Here is a 20634-nt window from a genome sequence, read left to right on the forward strand (position 1 = left end):
TGAATACTTATAACTTTTCAGTTTCAAGGCTCTGGATGATACATCACTAACTATTGTTCAACCTTGATAGAGAGACATTGTATCCTTCACAGACCACTACCTTCTGATGATCTAATTTTATCTTCAACAATAGTTACAAGAAAAAGCAAAAAATGACAGTGTTGAAAGTGGTGTTTTAGCCATTATACACGTAAATGATTAGAGGGGAGTGGGCTAAGCATTGCGTGGGCCAATATTATTTCCAGATATTTCATTGCAGTCAATTCTTAATTTTTCCATGGTAATAGCATAAGCAGTTGGTATCAGAGAGAGGAGATGATGAGGTTGATGAGATTCATATGTGTGTATATATATACATGAATATTAATATATATTAATATATACCTGAATATATATATACCTGAATATATATATATACCTGAAAAAGTATCAAGCAATGTAAAACCTAGATTTATTTACCCTTCTTCACATATTTTAAAACACAAATATCTTCTAGAAATGTAAGTTTTAAAAAATTACTGTATGTCTCTCTTCAGGCATAATAATATATTTTATCCTGGCAGGAAAAATAATACGTTTCTAACTATTTTTGTGTAACATTTAAATGTAAACAGAAGAATAGAAAAGAGAATGTCATCACTCATTGTTTGCTCCCCATTTAAACACAACTAATTGTACCCTGTTCTGTCTCATTGCACCCTATTCTGTCTCATTGCTTACATTATCCACTGGTTGAGGATGTAGTACAATCCCTATTGCCAGTCCAACTCCATCAGGATAAAGAGACTAGGCCAAAATCAGATGACTGTTGTACTTTATCTTGGAGAAAATTAAAAAATCTAATGTATAGAAATAGCATTTCCAGAAGTGATTTCTTTCTTCTTATGTCTTCCTTCTAAAACGTTTACTGGTAATGAGTTCTTGTTAAGATTAAATACATTATTGGAGGAATTAAGAATTCCTTTAAAATCTTATTTCCAATTAAACAGTAACTTATTGCAGTGAAATTCTGTATATAATAAATAAGGGTAAGATTTTCAAGGATTAATGATGGCGAATTGTACCACAGTGCTCATGTAGTTTTTATTAAAACAGTATTTTTGCACACACAATCATGCATCACATAACATTTCAGTCAATGACATATCATGACTACATATATGATGGTGGTCCCAGAAGATTATAATGAGGCCCGGTGCAGTGGCTCACGCCTGTAATCCCAAAAGTTCAGGAGACCGAGTTGGGCGGATCACCTGAGGTCAGGAGTTTGAGACCAGCTTGGCCAACATGGCGAAACCCCATCTCTACTGAAAATACAAAATTTCGGCTGGGCTCAGTGGCTCATGCCTGTAATCCCAGCACTTTGGGAGGCTGAGGCGGGTGGAATCACCTGAGGTCGGGAGTTCGAGACCAGCCTGACCAACATGGAGAACCCATCCCTCCTGTATACTGTGAAGGAGAACTGTGTATGTAAAAACTTAGACATGGTAGATCTTGTGAAAATGTAAACATGTTTGTTCAACTAAAAGTTTTTTGTTCTCTCTGTTTCCTCTAATCTATGGAGGTATTAAATAGTATTATTTTAAAGAGGCATAGAAAAGTGCCTAGATAATCTGCTGACTTTATTACATCAGTGTTCAACCAACTGCTCAAGTGTCCCTTTGCTGAAGAAAAATTGATGCCACACAGCAGTCCTAAAGAAAATTACCACTGAAACCCTCCAAGATATTTAAGAAAAATTTGATTTTAAATGAACCCAAATATGTTTTGACAATATACACTTCATGAATGGAAAGAGATGTTTTTAATTAAAAAAAACAGCAAAATCAGAAGGATTAAAAGAGAAGATATGTTTATCCAAAAGGAATGTCAAAAACCCCGTGTCTACTAAAAATACAAAAATTAGCTGAGAATAGTGGCAAGTGCCTGTAATCCCAACTACTCAGGAGGCTGAGGCAGGAGAATCGCTTGAAACCGGGAGGGAGAGGTTGCAGTCAGCTGAGATAGCGCCATTGCAATCCAGCCTGGGACACAAGAACGAAACTCCTTTTCAAAATAATAATAATAATAATAATAATAATAATAATAATAATAATAAAATTTTAAAAAATAACTTGGTGTGGTGGCGGGGGCGCCTGTAATCCCAGCTACTCCAAAGGCTGAGGCAGGAGAATTGCTTGACCGCGGGAGGGGGAGGTGGCATTGAGCCAAGATCGCGCCACTGCACTGCAACCTGGGTGACAGAGTGAGACTCTGTCTCAAAATAAAATAAAAGAAAATTGAACTAAAATATAATGGAGCTAAAAAATTCCTATTGCCTAGTGCTGTCATACCTGTCATAAAGTAATAGCACAATGCATTACTCACATGTTTGTGTTGATGCCAATGAAAACAAACCTACTGTGTCTGCAGTTATATAAAGTATGGCATATACAATTATGTACAGTGCATAGGACTTGGTGATGATAGTAAACAACTATGTTATTGGTTATGTATTTACTATACTATGCTTCTAATCATTATTTTTGAATGTATTTCTTCTACTTATAACATTAATTACTGTAAAACAGCCTGAGGCAGGGCCTTCAGGAGGTGTTCCAGAAGAAGAGATTGTTATCATAGAAGATAACAGCCCCATGCATGTTATTGCCCCTGAAGACTTTCCACTGGGACAAAATATGGAGTTAGAAAGAAGTGATGCTGATGATGTCGACCCTGCAGAGAACTGGGCTAACGTGTGTGTTTGTGTCTTTGTTTTTAACAAAAGAGTTTAAAAAATCAAAACAAAATGAAACAAAAATTGTCGATAGAAATAAGCTTACAGAATAAGAATTTTTTTAAAAAAGTTTTGTATTTTATACAGGTGTATAACGTGTTGTGTTATAAGTAAAATGGTAGAAAAAAGTCAAAAAAATTCTAAAAGCATAAAAAGTTTATAAAGTAAAAACGTTACAATCAGCTAAGATTAATTTATTATTAAAGATAGAAAATTTTTTATATAAATTTAGTGTAACCTAAGTTTACACTGTTTCTAAAGTCTACAGAAGCATACCATAATGTCCAAGTTCTTCACATTCACTCACCACTCAGTCACTGACACACCCAGAGAAGCTTCCAGTCCTGCAAACACTATTTGTGGCAAGTCAGTACTCTACAGAGGTACAATTTTTAATCCATTGCACTATATTTTCACTGTACCTCTTCTATGTTTACATATGTTTAGATACACAAATACCATTGTGCTGCAACTACCTACAGCAGTCAGTGCAATAACATTCTGTACATGTTTGTACCCTAAAAGTAATAGGTTACACCATACAGCCTAGGTGTGCAGTAGGCTATACCATCTAGGCTTAGGTAAGTACACTCTATGGTCTTTACACAAGAACAAGAACAAAGGTGCTTAAGTATGCAATTTTCAGAACCTATCTTCATCATAATATTAAGCCACACATCACTGTGTGTGTGTGTGTGTGTGTGTGCATGGGGATATATATATATGTGTGTGTGTGTGTGTATATATATATATATATATATATATATATATATATATTCACTTACAAGTGGATTTTTTTAACCAAACCTGGATCTAAAATACAGTATTTACAGGATGCCAAATCTGCATATATGGAAGGCTAACTTTTTGTATACTTGGGTTCCAGAGGGCTGACTGCAGAATTTGAGTCTGATTTTGGTATGAGTTATGGAGTCCTGGAACCCATCCCTCCTGTATACTGTGAAGGAGAACTGTATATGTAAAAACTTAGACTTGGTAGATCTTGTGAAAATGTAAACATATTTGTTCAACTAAGTTTTTTGTTCTCTCTGTCTCCTCTAATCTGTGGAGATATGAAATAATATTATTTTAAAGAGGCATAGAAAAGTGCCTAGATAATCTGCTGACTTTATTACATCGGTGTTTGACAAACTGCTCAAGTGTCCTTTTGCTGAAGAAAAATTGGTGCCATAAAGTAGTCCTAAAGAAAATCACCACTGAAACCCTCCAAGATATTTAAGAAAAATTTGATTTTAAATGAACCCAAATATATTTTGACAATATACACCTCATGAATGGAAAGAAGTGTTTTTAATTAAAAAACAGTAAAATCAGAAGGATTAAGAGAATATATGTTTGTCCAAAAGGAATGTCAAAAGCAAAGATGTCTAGATGAAATTTATATATATATATATGTGTGTGTGTGTATATATATATGTGTGTGTGTATATATAGATATATGTATATGTATATATATGTATATATGTGTGTATATATGTATATATGTGTATATATGTATATATATGAGATCAAAATGTATGAATTTTATTTATATATTCTTTATAGTTATCCACACCCAATTTACAAGGTCATCTAGAAACAATTTTAACTAGGTAGAGGGCAATTAATTTAGACTGTGTTATACCCCTCTGGCCCACATTTATGATGTTCAGATATTTTGGGTCCTAATACTAGAAATTCAGTATTTTGCTTGTATTAGTCTCTTTTCATACTGCTATGAAAAAATACCCAAGACTGGGTAATTTATAAAGAAAAGAGATTTAATGAACTCACAGTTTCACATGACTGGGGAGGCCTCAAAATCATGGCAGAAGGTAAAGGAGGAGCAAAGGCATGTCTTACACGGTGGAAGGGAAGACTGCGTGTGCAGGGGAATTGCCCTTCATAAAACCATCAGAACTCATGAGACTTATTTACTATCATGAGAACAGCATGGGAGAAACCTACCCCCATGATTCTATTACCTCACACCAGGTCTCTCCCGTGGACACATGGGGATTATGGGAGCTGCAATTCAAGATGAGATTTGGGTGGAGACACAGCCAAACCATATCATTCTGGTCTTGGCCCCTCCCAAATCCCATGTCTTCACATTTCAAAACCAATCATGGCTTCCCAAAAGTACCCCAAAGTCTCGACTCATTTCAGCATTAACTCAAAAGTCCACAGCCCAAAGTATCCTCTGTTACAAGGCAACTAATGAGCGTGTAAAATCAAAAGCAGGTAAATTATTTTCTAGATACGATGGGGCTACAGGCATTGGTAAATACACCCATTCCAAATGGGATAAATTGGCCAAAATCAATAGGCTACAGGCCCCAAGGAAATCGGAAATTTAGTGCACCAGTCAAATCTTAAAGCTCCAGAATGATCTCCTTTGACTCCATGTCACACATCCAGGTCACACTGATGCAAGGGGTGGGTTCCCATGGTCTTGGGCAGCTCTGACCCTATGACTTTACAGGGTATAGTTCCCCTCCTGGCTGCTTTCACAGGCTGATGTTGAGTGTCTGCTGCTTTTCCAGGAACACAGTGCAAGCTTTGGGTGGATCTACCATTCTGGGGTGGCCCTCTTCTCACAGCTCCACTAGGCAGTGACTCAGTGGAGAGTCTGTGTGGGGTCTCTGACCCCACATTTTCCTTCCAAAATGCCCTAGCAGAGGTTCTCCATGAGGGTTCCACCCCTGCAGCACACCTCTGCCTGGACATCTAGGCATTTCCATACATCCTCTGAAATGTAAGTGGAAGTTCCCAAACCTCAATTCTTGACTTCTATGCACCTGCAGGCCCAACACCAAATGTAAGCTGCCAAGGTGTAGGGCCTGCACCCTTTGAAGCAACAGCCTAAGCTGTATGTTGGCCCCTTTCAGCCACAGCTGCCACACAGAGAACCAAGTCCCCAGACTGTACAAAGCAGCAATGCCCTGGGCCTGGGCCATGAAACCCATTTTTTTTCCTCCTAGGCCTCCTAAGCCTCCTGACTTGGGATGGGAGGGGCTGCTGTGAAGACCTCTGTCATGCCCTGTAGACATTTTCCCCATTACCTTGGTGATAACATTTGGCTCCTCATTACTTATTAAAATGTCTGTAGCAAACTTGATTTCTCCTCAGAAAATGTTTTTTTTTTCTATTGCATCATCAGGCTGCAAATCTTCCAAAGTTTTATGCTCTGCTTCCCTTTTAAACATAAGTTCCAATACCAAACCATATCTTTATAAGTTAATAAAATGTGAATGCTTTTAGGAGCAGCCAAGTCACATCTTGAATGATTTACTGCTTAGGAATTTATTCTGCCAGATACCCTAAATCATCTCTCTCAAATTCCAAGTTCCACAGGTCTCTAGGGCTGGGGCAAATGCTTCCAATCTCTTTGCCAAAGCATAGCAAGAGTCACCTTTCCTGCAGTTCCCAATAAGTTTCTCATCTCTATCTGAGACCACCTCAGCCTCAAAACATTCAACAAGTCTGTAGGATGCTCCAAACTTTCCCTTGTCTAGCTGTTTTCTTCTGAGCCCTCCAACCTCTGTTTGGTACTCAGTTCCAAAGTCACTTCCACGTTTCTGGGTATCATAATGGCAGTACCCCATCTACCGGTAACAATTTACTGTATTAGTTCATTTTTATACTGCTGTGAAGAAATACCTCAGACTGGGTAATCTATAAAGTAAAAGAGGTTTAATGGACTCACAGTTTCACATGACTGGGGAGGCCTCACACTCATGGTGGAAGGCAAGGGAGGAGAAAAGTCAATCTTACATGGCGGCAGGCAAGACAGCATGTGCAGAAAAACTACCTTTTATAAAACCATCAGATCTTGTGAGACTTATTCACTCTCAGCAGAACAGCAAGGGAAAAACCCACTCCAATGATTCAATTGTCTCCCACCAGGTTCCTCCCATGACACATGGGGATTTGAGGAGCTACAGTTCAAGATGAGATTTGGGTGGGGACACAGCGAAACCATATCAGTGCTAAATACCTATTTCTACTTCATTACTTTCTAGACTTTTGATGGTTGCTCAGGAAAAAAAGAAAAAAGAAAAAGAAAATCACACACACACACTTCAATCATTTATTCAACAAAATTTATTATAGGAGATTACTGTGTGTCAGTTACAGATTGCTAAATATGTGATTTAATACATATTTTCCTATACACTACATAACTATGTTTTATGCTTTATATAGAAGATTTGGGCATCTGCAAGGTAATAACAGGTATATTATCCACATTTTCAAGGAGAGAAAATTCAAGTTCGAGAAGTGGAATACTATGCCAAATTGATACCACTATATGATAATAGAGTTAGGCTTTGAAGCCAAATCTATTTGATTCCAATTAAATTTCTTTCCACTGCACAATTTCACTTTTTCTTCCTATCTCTCAAGAAGGAGCCTAAACACAGACAAGAATTGTAGAGGTGTTGATAATTGGCTGTAGCCTGAGGTCCCAGGGAAACCCTGACTGTATCAATGCTTCTGGAAGTCAATTTATAAATAAATAATCAAAATAACCTTGAAATTTTGATGCAGTAATTTCACTTGGAAATTATTACAAGTATGTAAAAAAGTTTGCTTAGAAGCTGTTCCTGCTCAGTTTGTCTTCCTTCCCAGTAAAGACAAATTCACTGTCTTCCCAGCTTCCAAGAAGGAACTGAAAGAACAGAAAACAAAACTTGAAAATGCCAACACGAACAAACGAACACATTTTGAATCAGAGGCCAGTTCAACTGATTTCTTGTGTATTAAAAATTAATGTACAAAGTGTTCTCTTCCATTGATTTATATGAATATTTTCATGACTTGGTTCCCAATTATTTCTCCAAATAATTATTAGCCCCTTCCCACTATAAACACTTCAATACCATTTTGTTCAGACAATTGAGGGTCATTTGTACAGTATATTATATTTGCACTAGAGAATAAATGTATTTGTGATTAATCCCTTGTTATTGTTTACATTTTAATAACCACATTTAAGGGTACCTAAGTAAACCTAATAACTAATAGTCACTGGATACATATGATCAGTTTTTATGCTAAGCATTTAATATGCATTATGTAATTTAATCTTTACAGCAACAATATGAAATAAGTACTATTATTATCAATTTAACAGATAATAAAACTAATCATTGTCAAAGAACACCCAAGTTCCTTGGACTCTAGATCCTCTAAAGTAAATTGTTTTGTGTTTTAGGAGTACTCTTAAAAGGCAAACTGTGTTTTGTCATACACCTCTCTAAATTACATGCATGTTACCAAACTGCACTTGAGTTTTAACATAACATTACTAACTATATCCCAATGGGATTTAATAACTGAAGTAATACTGCAAATTTTTAATACAACCTCACAGCAGGGACAGTGAGAGAAGGCTTTTGTATAATTAGCTGCAGAGTTAACTAATAGGTTGATTAATTTAAACTACTTGAAACATCATTTTATTAATCTCATTGGAAATGTAGCAAAGGAGGAAAAATTAGAGTACACCATGTTAAGAATGTAATATAAAAAAGAAAAGCTCTTAAAACTAAGCCATTGAAACTAATAGAAAGTATTCAAGCAACTAAAAATTTAGTAGTAATGCTTTAATGGATGAAAAATAAACTGAATATTACAAAAATAAGCATGTGTATTCTGAAAAATGGATACACATGATGGTTTACTATTTATTTGGAACTTGCTGATGTTTTCTTAGTTCACTAATGCGACATCCTGATAATATTTTTAAAGGAGATCATTGTTTGGCTATCCCATTTTAAATATCAAAATTACAACTCATGCTATTTGGACTTCATAAGCAACATTTTAAAGTTTATACAATTGAGTAATTTTGCTTTTAAAATGAAAAAAAGGCTTTTAAGGGAATATTTGATTTAACATATTAATACAATGCCAGAAAGATAACGGTTTTCAATGAACTAAAATAAAAGATTGTGTTTTAAATATCATGGATCAAAATATTAATATCTACTGAAAATTCCTTTAAGCAAATAAGTACTTCACAACATTAAAACATTTATTAAATTCATCAGATCTTTACATGGAAAATGCTTCCTACATAACAGAATCTGACCTAGTTTACATTAAATTTGCTCTTATTTTGTTTCTTTTCTTTCCTTGTAATAAGAGCTTATACTAATGAACATGATAGTTGGTTAATGAAGAATGCATTGCCTATTTAGCAATATACATATTTATGCGACCTTCTTTTGTTCATAAATGCTAATATTTATTGCTTCTTTGTTGAGGTTTTATTTTGTGCTTTGTGACAAACAAAAGTATGATTAGTGAAGCTGTAAAGTTCTCATGGTAGCTGCCTGTGTTCCCAAGATAGCGGAATTAGTGTCTACAGAAGCAGTTAATGCTGTTTATCATTAGTGACAGAGGCTGGGAAGGACCTTCTGTGGCTTTTATCTTTCACCTTGCCAACGGAAGTTGATGAGCTTTCTGATTTAAATTCATAGGTAATGCTCCAGGATTTATATGCACTTCACATGGACAACCTCACAGGTAAACCTATCCTGCTGATGGGGTCTCATTAAAATCATTCTAACATTCTAATACTGGACATCCTTAGGAAAACCATTAGTTTATCCATATTTAATGTCAAAGTTGCCCAATGGAAACATGAAATATAATACAGCTTATGAAGAAATTATCTCATTTCTGCTTTAAAACAGTTTATTGCATTAGGGTGTGACCTTTATAGGTGTATACTGACTAATGAACATAAGGCACATTTTTATAATGAAAACACATTTTTAAAAGTTAAAGTTAATAGCTACAGGAGTTTTGAAATAAAGCAAGACAATTACAATGAGGTAGCACACTTGAATGACACTAGTCTGTTTTTTCCACAAAATACATCTTCCAAAATGTGGGCCCAGGGAGCGATGCGAATTACCATCAGAAAATCAAAATTCGATGTCAGATTTATTTGAGAATTTGAGTGAAAGTTTAAACAGTTTTTGGCAGTACATGATAGCTTTGTAGCTAAGATAGTAATGAATATTGTGACTGTCTAAATGAATAGTATGGTAATATTTCCTAAATTTTTCAGGAATCATTTTTTTTGCAGCTAGTTTTCATGAAATTATATTAGAAATATTTTCTATCATTGTGAACCACAATGTAAAATACTTTAAAATTTAAATTGGAAAAATCTTCATTCACACCAATAGTCCTAAAAATTTGAATGGTTTTCTTTTGTCCTCAAAACAAAATCTGTGCTTTTTAATATGAAGTATAAGATCTTACTTGGACCAGGTCTCTGTCTATCGTAGCCCTCATCACTCTGTTCTGTGCTTAAGCCACTCGTATATTTATCTTCCTCAAGGACGCAAAATGTTTGGCACCTAAATATCTTTATTTTGTTCCTGCAGGAGGCTCTCTTTCCACCTCAGTGTCTTTTTCTTCTTCAGAGAGATCTTCCACCCTTGTCTTTTCTAAAGCCTGCTGCTCCTACTGATAACTATTTCAGCACTCTACGTAGTACTTTGCATCATTTATGTGTTTAGTTTCGTTGGTGGGTGAGAGACAGTAAGCTGCATGAGGACAAACCAAATCTATTTATCTTGTTCATTGCTGAATCTTCAGTACTTAGAATGATGCCTGCTACAAAGTAGTAGGTATTCTTTATGTATACCCTTGAATGAATATTCACATTTCTCAGCGAAAATGAAGAAAACTGAGTATGAGAGGGAAGTTCTCTTTTTACTTTCATTCTGTTCTAAAAGACAATGAACTCTGGGGACTTGAGGGAAAGGGTGGGAGAGGGGTGAGGGATAAAAGACTACATATTTGGTACAGTGTACACTGCTTGGCTGACAGATCCACCAAAATCTCAGAAATCACCATTAAAAAACTTATCTATGAAATGAAACGCTACCTGTTCCCCATAAAATTATTGCAATAAAGTAAAATAAAATAAATTATAAAAATAAAGTGACAAAAACCCAAATAAACTCAGTTATTTTCAAGAAATAAATCGTATTGACTAGTATTTATTAGAAGCAACCATCAATGTAGTATATGTAATGTATCATAAGATGGTATTTTAGAGCTATTACTAGTGAAGATAATAAGATGCAATAAGATGAATGGCTAAAGTTTACATTAGGTAAATCAAGCACCGTGGGTTAGTAACTTCTCATAATAATATGAGGTGGATTGAATATCCAAAAGCAACAAAAATATTACCATTGTAAACTCATTTATGTTGATCATAATTTCATGATGATTGCTTAAGTGTTTCCAAGTAGAAAACATGACAGCTAAAAATTATACTGAAATTCGTCATCTTCAATAGTTTTGGATGCATCCAAAACTTCTTTTTAAAGTAATTCAATTCTGTAAGTGTAATGCTATTTGTTTTAAACTGTAGAGTTTAGATGAAGGTAAAAATAAATGTTTTATAGTTTTCTAAGTAAATAAAGAAAAAGAACTTTGAAAGTAAAGGTCAGGTGTTTCATTTCCCTTTAGAAGCTGATCTGAGTTCATTCTGAGACTGGTTTTTAGGCTTGAGAAATTTACATGAGGGAGGCAAACTCTTTGACTTTCATGTTCAACTCTCCAAACATTGCATTTTAATGCAATTTTCCTCTTGCTTTAATGATATCAGCTGTATAATCTAATTTCTTTTTGCAAGGGAAAAGCATCCCAGTAAAGAGAATAGCCTTCAGTAATAACAAGACACTCCACAAATCAATATTGTACCCTTCAAAGGGATCTGAATTCACAGGATCAAGTAATTGTGACCCACAAGATTGTTTCCTTTTTTCATCAACAAAAATACATTTTATTCAAGTTGTTACATTTTGGTGCTCCATTAAATTCATTTTGTATTACTCGCAACTGTTGCACTATAAAGACTAAAACAGTGGCTTTTATTCTATAACTGGAGTTGATGCCACATTCAGCTTTCATTATTTCCTCTGACCCAGCTTATTGTCTGACATCTTTTGAAAAATGCACATTCTACGCAAGAAAGCTTTAGCAAACATTTCTGTTTTTCAATGACTTTGACAAAGTCTGCATGAGTATTTCTGAAAAACATGTCCAATGACAAGCAAAGAGTTTGATATCTTTTCAAAGAGTAGAGTTGAAATTTCTTCCCCGTACTACATAAATCATCTTGGTTATCGCATGCATATTAATATAGATTATTAAATGTTAATTACACCTTTCAGCAGTATTCAAGTTAAGAGCATAAAATATTTCCTGAAACCCACAAAAAATAGGAAGCAAAGGAAAAGAGCCAGCTGATCCAATACCAATGATTTAGAATCGTGACACCTTTTGAAGGTAATGTTAATATGGCATACTAAAGGTAATCATAAGATTTTTTTATATACACAATATATAAATGTTGCTTTTTTTGCCTTATAGTTCATGTAAATTTAAGGCTAAAATACATTTTATGGGACTCAGAATAACAGTGTCTAGCATTTTAACACAATCTTAGAGTGTAGAAGTTAATTTACATACATATTATATGAAGCTATTAAGATATGCATATGTAATGTGGAACCCAATTTTTAATTATTAAGAATGTTAATTTCAATTAATATATTTTTAAATACAATGATATACTTGAAATAATGCCAATGTTTGTATTATTTTTTCAAGTGTACTTTTTCTTCTTCTGTTTTTGAAATAGAGCACAAATATGTTTATCCAATTAAATGACAAAAACCCAGGTAAACCGTAACATGTTCATATTTTAATACCAAATTAAGTGTAGATATTTGTGAATAATTTGTTTCCTCAATTCTAAATATCCTCCATTTCCTATTTTCTTTTGATTCAGATAATCAATTACTTTTTTTAGAATATAATTACTAAGATCACAGTAAAATCATAAGGAGCTGTAAAAAGTATATCATAGATTTGATTCTAACTAATTAAAGGAAGTTAAAATAGCACAGATAAATTTCACATAATAGCAACACAGTACATTTTTATTTATTGTATTAATGTAATCTTAAAAGTAGAAGGGAAGAATATGAGCTTCCAACTACGAATGATATTTTAGAAGAGAAACACAAAGTTAGAAAGTGTAGCTATGAAATCGTTAAATTAACAGAGCTAGTATTTACTAATAACCACTTATACCCATGTATTTTATCCGATATATGAAGATAGGATATGTGTGTATGTGTATGTACGTGTGTATTGCATATATAGAGAAGTGATATAAAGCATGCAAAGACAAATGTGGCTGATTGGAGCTGATTTCCGTAGTAACACATTCTGCAGGTTTTGGAATAAAAATAACAATATTGTGAATAATGATCAACTTTATTCTTATGTTTTCTGCTGGTTAGGCATTACATGTAATTGATGAAAAACAAACTTCATTTTTGTACTGAATCTGTGGAATTTTGACTTCTGATCCCTTGAGAGTTGATACTGATGGTAGAAGGATGAAGCCAATAAATTTGAATTATGTATGTTGCTTTATATATATATATATAAAGAAAATATATATATAAACTGTATATATAAAGTATATATATAAAGTGTATATATAAAGAATATATATATAAAGTATATATATATAAAGATTTTGTTGGCAATTTATTTTTAAGACTGTAGTAACAGGTTCTAATATGTAGCCATTCCTTATTTTTTTTTTTATTAAAAGCCACATAGCATTTTGCCAAAAGTTTTCTTGCAGCAAGATATGATTATAATAATAAAGTATATTTTTAGAGTTTATACACTATCCACCTCCTAAAAATATTGAGCTCCTCAGTTTCAGCTGTCATCTTAACTTTCACCAGCCTGAGCAGGGCTGCAGGATGTGGGATGACTCCTCAGCATCCAAGGGCCTGATGTTGTAAGGATGTCTCTACCTTTGGCCTTGTGTTTGTCCTGCACTCTAGAACTTCATTGCTATAGAGTGCAGGACACACTGACATGCCAGTATGTCAGAAAGGCTCAGAAAAACCATTCTCAGGAATCATCACTCTAATCAGCAGAAAGCCCCTTCCATGTAGCTATTTAAACTCACCAAGCCTTTTTTTTTTAATGTCATGACAATTGGTGCTAAAAAGTTAGGTGTGATCAGTTATGAAAAAAGAATCAACTCTGAAACACTGCAGTGTGACTATCAAATAATTATTGTATAATTGTACACATCCTTGGAGACTTACTGCAGTGGTAATTCTTTATTTATAAAACAAAAATAAAATGAGCTAAAACAATAAGAAAAGCAAAAAAACATAAACAGAATAAATTGTACTCAAAATAAATTCTGATCATTCTAGGCTAAGGAGGTATTGGCAGAGAAGTGCTTATATAGTTCTAGAACTCTATGCTACAAAAAGGCCTCTATGAGGTGTAAAGAATAAGCGTAGAGAGAAGTCTGGGAGTTATATTAGATAATAAGCAGTGGGCACGCTCCTTAGATAGGGATGGGATAGGAGTCAGGAGAAGGACTTTAAGAGCAATACCAGGTGAAGGATTAAGCCCTATTAATAGTCTAAAAGCAGTTTTCTTTCTTAACTCATTCTGCTTCCTGACTCATGATTACCGCATATTTACCTGATACATCATATATAACATCTTATTCGCCAAACAAAACAAGTTATTTATTTTAACTGCATCTGTTTAATAATTATTCCAGGATATTTGCTTCTTTGATTAGATATAATATTTTCTTAGAGCATAACAATACATACTCAAATCTATGCAGATCACTCTTAAAAATTAAAATTTGAAGGAAAATACAACTTTTCAAATGATCTTATATTTTACAACATTATTGGTATATACTAGTTACTCAGCTATAATAATACAATAGAGACAGAAACAAATATTTGACAATTTTAAAAGAAAATGAAGAAATAGTGAATTTATTATACTACCATATTCTTTAAAAATTTTATCGAAAAACTACATCAATAAAACTGCCAACACTTACGAGTGCTGTTAAATCAAACTAAATATGGCCTGAGAAAGCCTCTGTACTTCCATATTTGAGTCCTTGTGGACCAACTGTAACCTAACTTTGCAGGTAGACAATGCTGAAAACCTAACTTAGGAGTACACTACTGTAACAATAGCTGAGTCTCAGCTAATCCCAGCAGCCATACTTGAACCACTCAGACACTGCTGACTGTTCAAACTGTGTTCAAATAAGGCAACCTCCAAGCTGTAAACAATCCAGCTGTTCCTGCATCTCACTTCCATCTTCTGTATGTCACTTTCCTTTTGTTGTGTATAAGTTTGCTCTGACCATGAGGCATCCCTGGAGTCTCTCTGAATCTGCTGTGACTCTGGAGACTGCCTGATTCGTGAATTGTTTTTCTTGTTTGTTTTTTGTTTGTCTTGCTCAATTAAACTCTGTTAATTTGTCTGAAGTTTTCTTTTAACAGTGCTAAAATTAGACAATTTCAAAAATATGAAATTAGATAATTTCATTAGATAAATTGAATTAGATAAATCAGAAAATTAGAAATATATCAGTCATATTTTAAGCATTTCATACACAAGATTGTGGAAAAAAGTTAATATAATACTTTATACATAAAACCATATATATATATGTATATATATATATATATATATACATATATATATACATATAAACATTTACCACCATCCAGTTAAATAACTGACCACTAACCATTTCATTCAATTATCCTCATTTTTCTCTCCATTGGAATTCTCATTCCTCCCAAGGTTAACCAGTCGTTTGAACATTTTTATATCATTTATTTTCTTTTCATTATTTATACAATATATTTAAACTTTTTATGATTTTAAATTTTATATAAATGATTTCATATTGTATACATTCTTCAATACTCACTGTTCCTCCTTTGATATTTTGTTTTCAAAAAAGTTCCATTCCTTTGTTGATTTCCACCACTATATAGTATTTTGTTTAATGAATATAACTTACCACTATTTATCATTTCTTCTTTGATGAATAATTGAGTTATTTCTAAGTATTTTTCTTTTAAAAACTGTGTTTCTCTGAAAAGACTAATAAATATCTCATGATCATGTTGTACATGTGCAGTAATTTCCAGGAATGAAACTGCTGGATTAAATAATTTGCAAATATTCAAATTTGCCAGAAAAATTCAAATTGGTTTCAAGGAAATAATACCAGTTTACACTTCCACCAATGTTGCATATTCTACTTCTACATTCTTGCATATTCTTGTTATGGTATCTTTTAAATCTGTACCTGTCTGAAGAAAGAAAAACGACATCCCATTGTTATATATTTTTTGCTGATTATGTAGAGAGTATCCATATATCTTATAGAATGCACTGCTGAAATGCATGTGTGCATTTTTCACCATTGGGTGTTAAATTTTTCTTTTTTTTCTTCTATTTTTTGTTTTATTTTTTTAAGATGGAGTTTTGTTCTTGTTGCCCACGGTGGAGTGCAATGGTACCGTCTTGCTGCAACCTCCACCTGCGGGGTTCAAGCTATTCTCCCGCTTCAGCCTTCTAAGTAGCTGGGATTACAGACACCCGCCACCACGCCCGGCTAATTTTTTTGTATTCTTAGTAGAGACGAGGTTTCACCATGTTGGCCAGGCTCCTCTGAAAGTCCTGACTTCAGGTGATCCGCCCGCCTCAGCCTCCCAAACTGCTGTGTTTACAGGCGTCAGCCACCGCGCCCGCCCTCCTTTTCTTATTGGTCAGAAGCTTATTATTCTCTGTGTAATATTTTGTCAAAAAAAATGTGTGTGTGTGTGTGTGTGTGAGTGTATACTTGTGTGTGTATATATATATAACAATTATATAATTTTCCATGGGTATGTGGCTTTTCTTTTTATACTGCAACCTTTGATAAACCTTTATAAACAAAAGCTTTAAATTTCAAATTACTGGAATTTATTGACCTTTTATTTCAGGAAAAAAGAAAGATTATATACCCAATTGCATATAAATATATAAATGTTTTCCTATATCCTCCAATAAAGCTTTGTTTACTTTATTATTTATTTATTTATTTATTTTCTTGAGATGGAGTCTCACTGTGTGGCCCAGGCTGGAGTGTAGTGGTGTGATCTTGGCTCACTGCCACTGCCGCCTCCAAGGCTGAAGTGATTCTCCTGCCTCAATTTCCTGAGTAGCTGGGACTACAGGTGCGCTCCAGCACACCTGCTAATTTTTGTATATTTAGTATAGATGGGGTTTTGCCATGTTGTCCAGGCTGGTCTCAAGCTCCTGTCCTCAGGTGATCCACCTGCCTCAGCCTCCCAAAGTTCTGGGATTACAGGCGTTAGCCACCATGCCCAGGCGACACACTGTTTATTTTTTATTCATTTACATTTGCAACCCTTAACCAGTTAAGAAAAGAAACAATGATATGCTGAATTTTTCAAAACAGAAAAAAATATATGTTGTTTGGGAGGAGAGTGAGCAGGGAGGGAAAATGTATAGATTAACTGATAGTAGGGGAGAGAATCATAGACATGGCTCATTTGTTAATGTTTAGAAATGCATGTCCTATGGCCTTTTGCAAGTAAATAAAACTTAATCATGGATATGTTTTGGTAAATAACTTATTCATCCTTGTTTTATGAGGTTGGGCTATGATGTAGTAAAATCTATCAAATAAATAATAGCACAGGAAAGAATTGAGTTTTGGCAGGTTCATGTTGTTAAGAGCAATTTATTTGAGTGATCCCTATTTTTTTTCAGTGGAGAGAGAATATATTCTTTTTTAATTATGTTCAACATTGATTTTTTTTTTCAACCGAAAATACCCTTTGAGAAACACTTTGCCTTTTTACAGGAGTTTATTATGTTTTGGACATAGAAACATAACAAACACCTGTAAAACAGCAAAGTGTTTCTCTCTCTCTTTTTTTTTTTTTTTGGAAACTAGATGCCTTAAGATTGTATAAATTGAACATTCTCGCTTTGACATAAAATTGGATGTTATTCTGAAAAAGTTTCTACTGAGCATAGTACACATATTCATTTTGCATGTTACATTCATATCATGTTTTAAGAATAAATGAAGACATTCTAATTTGCATTAACAATTATATTTAAAACAAATAAATATAGAACAAAGTACCATATGAACAATCATGCAGAACAAAGTGAGAAGCTATGTTTGAAGGAATCTCGGCTTTCCCCTAACTACATACTACTTTATTTGCATCCTTGCCATCGTACTCACTAGGCTGCAGTAAGCAGAGACCACAGGCCTCTGGAGGTTTCAGGAGTGATTTCATACCTGTGTATAAATTCAAGGTAGCTAATTATTTTGAAAGTCATTTTTGGTGGTGGTTACTTTGAGAGATATGCACTTAGTTGATAAACCATTTATAAATAGGTAGAGATTGTAGGGAACGTGGTCCAACCTTAGCAAAGAGAATACAAGAAAGTATAAAGTATTAAGGAGAGCAGGTCCCATCCTGAAACTGGAGAATGGGAATTGGGTGGGGAGAACAACTAGATAGGGCAACTGAGCAAGCTAAGAAATTCACAATTAAGGCAGTAGGGTGAGACCTCTGAGTGACCATTCCTAAACTAGCAGGTTGTCTGAAGACCCAAATTCTTGGTTCATCCTTGTCCATGTGGGATGCTTGCTCCAGCTAGAATATAAAAACAGAATTTCAAACCTGGGCTGTGCTTCTCACTGACAGTGTGCGTGTTGTGGGCAGAGTACTTAAACCTTGTTGTGGGTTAGTTTTTGTATTTGTTGACTAGAGACTGAAATACTTACCAGGGTTGGAAGGATAATTAAAAGAGACAATGTAAGTGAAAACACCGTGAATACTACCTTTTGCATGTTAAGGATTACTACTAAAGTGTGAGAATGAGAAGGGAGGAATTGAGCACACACTTGAGGGAGAAAATCTTCATATTTGCCAGAAAACACAGAAAAGCCCAGGACAACATGTTTCCCCATTTGCATCCAGTATGAAAGGCAGGCATTTCTCATATGTGGAATATTCTCATAGGTGGAATAAAAATCATTCCCTTCAGTATGTTGTATCTTTATTTACTTGTCCCTAACTTTACCCCACCATATAAACAATAGCAGTTCCACAGGCAGGCTAAGCCTCCTGGCTCAGTCTGGGTTCCTAAAGCAATCTCTCTGAGTAAGGAATACTCTGGGAGTTAGGAGAGAATTTGTCTCATGGAGCCGCTGGGGGAAAAGGTACACAAATTAAAGTTTTGTTGAAAGTAGCAAAAAGGGATGGAAAGCTGGTCAGGCTACAGACCATGCCCATTACACTATATTTAGTGTAGGTGTTTGGAAAAGTAATTTTTCCCCCTAAATCATTCATATAATTAACTTCTGTTTTGCATGGGATATTCACTGGAAATTTTTTAAATAGATAATTTAGAAAAAATAAGCAAATACGAGTTAGTGTAAATACAATGTAAAGTTATACATCTCATTAATTCTGTTAAATTGTTTACTTTCCTTCTTTTTGCTACCTAGAAACACAATCCTATCACTATTGAACAGAGTTGCATGCCTTTTATTTAGCTAAAGTTGGTGTTCATTTTATTTTCAAGTGGCAAATATGTATTGATGTAGATAGGTCTTTTTTTAAAATCCTGATACTGACAAATAAACAACAGAGTGGATAAAACACTGAACTCTTGTATAACTTTCTGCAGGCAGTTCTCTGAAATGGAAAATTTATATTAACTGGTTCTATATTTTAATGCGGTTTTATATATGAAATATACTAATTTCAGATTTCAGATTTTAATATTTGCATAGATTTGCTATTATTTTGAAATATATGTAGTATTATTTAGTAGTATTCTAAATGATTACATAATTTAATGTGTGATCATTTTTTCAATACGATTACATTTCTTAGTAATTGTGATTTATGGACACAGAAATTTAAAGATGGAAGCCTAGCTATAGCACTCAAGTCCTATAGCACCCAAGTTCTATAGCACCATAAAGAATCTAAATATAGTTCCTTTGCTTTAATTCTCATCTTTAGTTGCTGAAGAAACAACTGATGTTTTTAAGTTAGATTATCTGCATAAAAGAAGCTGCTCTCAGAATAGAATAGATTATTTTCTTAGAGACCCTGACATAAGTCCAATAATGTACAGGCAAATGTTTAGTTAACTGGCTCTCCAGGGAACCAGGCTGCATTGCAGTGGTGCCATCACAACCTACTGCAGCCTCGACCTCCTGGGCTCGAGCGATACTCCCGCCTCAGCCTCTCAAGTAGCTGGGACTACAGGAGCATAGCACCATGCCTGGCCAATTTTATTTTTTGTAGAGATGAGGTCTCACCAAGTTGCCCAGAATGGTCTTGGACTCCTGCCAATAACTGTTTGTTGATGATGGAGGAAAGAAGAAAAGAAATCATAGGAGACTTTGGCAGAGAGGATGAGAATTAATTGTTTGGCCTGGGATTCGTCACAATAATATGTTTGGCCATGTGGTTTCTCTTGGAACATTTTATCTCCTTCAGGAAAGAAGCGGGTTACTAGTTTATTTTCACAATTGTTGAAGCTTGCAAAACTGTGATTTTGTACATTAAAAAATCATGTTTTCAGAAACAGCTACATATGTGTGTGTCTGTTTATGTATGAATGTACGTATGTATTTTATATATATGTCATCTTCTTGATATGGCAATACTCCTCATTTTAATTTTTTTCACAAAACCAAGGGAAGCAGTGCAATGTGTGGGATACACAAGCTCTGATTATGAGGAACAACATATGCTAGAATGATTAATGTTTTAGCTAGTCCAGACTTACCATAGCCAGGAAATTCTGGCCAATTAAGGAGGAAAAGAGAGAACCATCAATTAAAACAAAATTGACAACCTACCCACCTCCACCATTAAAAAAAAACA

The 20634-nt window shown here is 34.3% G+C and overlaps 1 protein-coding gene and 1 non-coding gene across 12 annotated transcripts in view; both read left to right on the top strand.

The window, feature by feature from the left end:
* CADM2 (cell adhesion molecule 2) overlaps positions 1 to 20634 on the top strand; it is a 1115441-nt gene that overhangs the window by 409173 nt on the left and 685634 nt on the right. The gene's annotated exons all lie outside the window — the stretch shown is intronic.
* Positions 17549 to 17631, top strand: MIR5688 (microRNA 5688). The gene has a single exon (NR_049870.1). It is a non-coding gene; the product is annotated as a microRNA 5688 (primary transcript).

Source organism: Homo sapiens, chromosome 3, assembly GCF_000001405.40.
Source record: "Homo sapiens chromosome 3, GRCh38.p14 Primary Assembly".
Classification (NCBI taxonomy): Eukaryota; Metazoa; Chordata; class Mammalia; order Primates; family Hominidae; genus Homo; species Homo sapiens.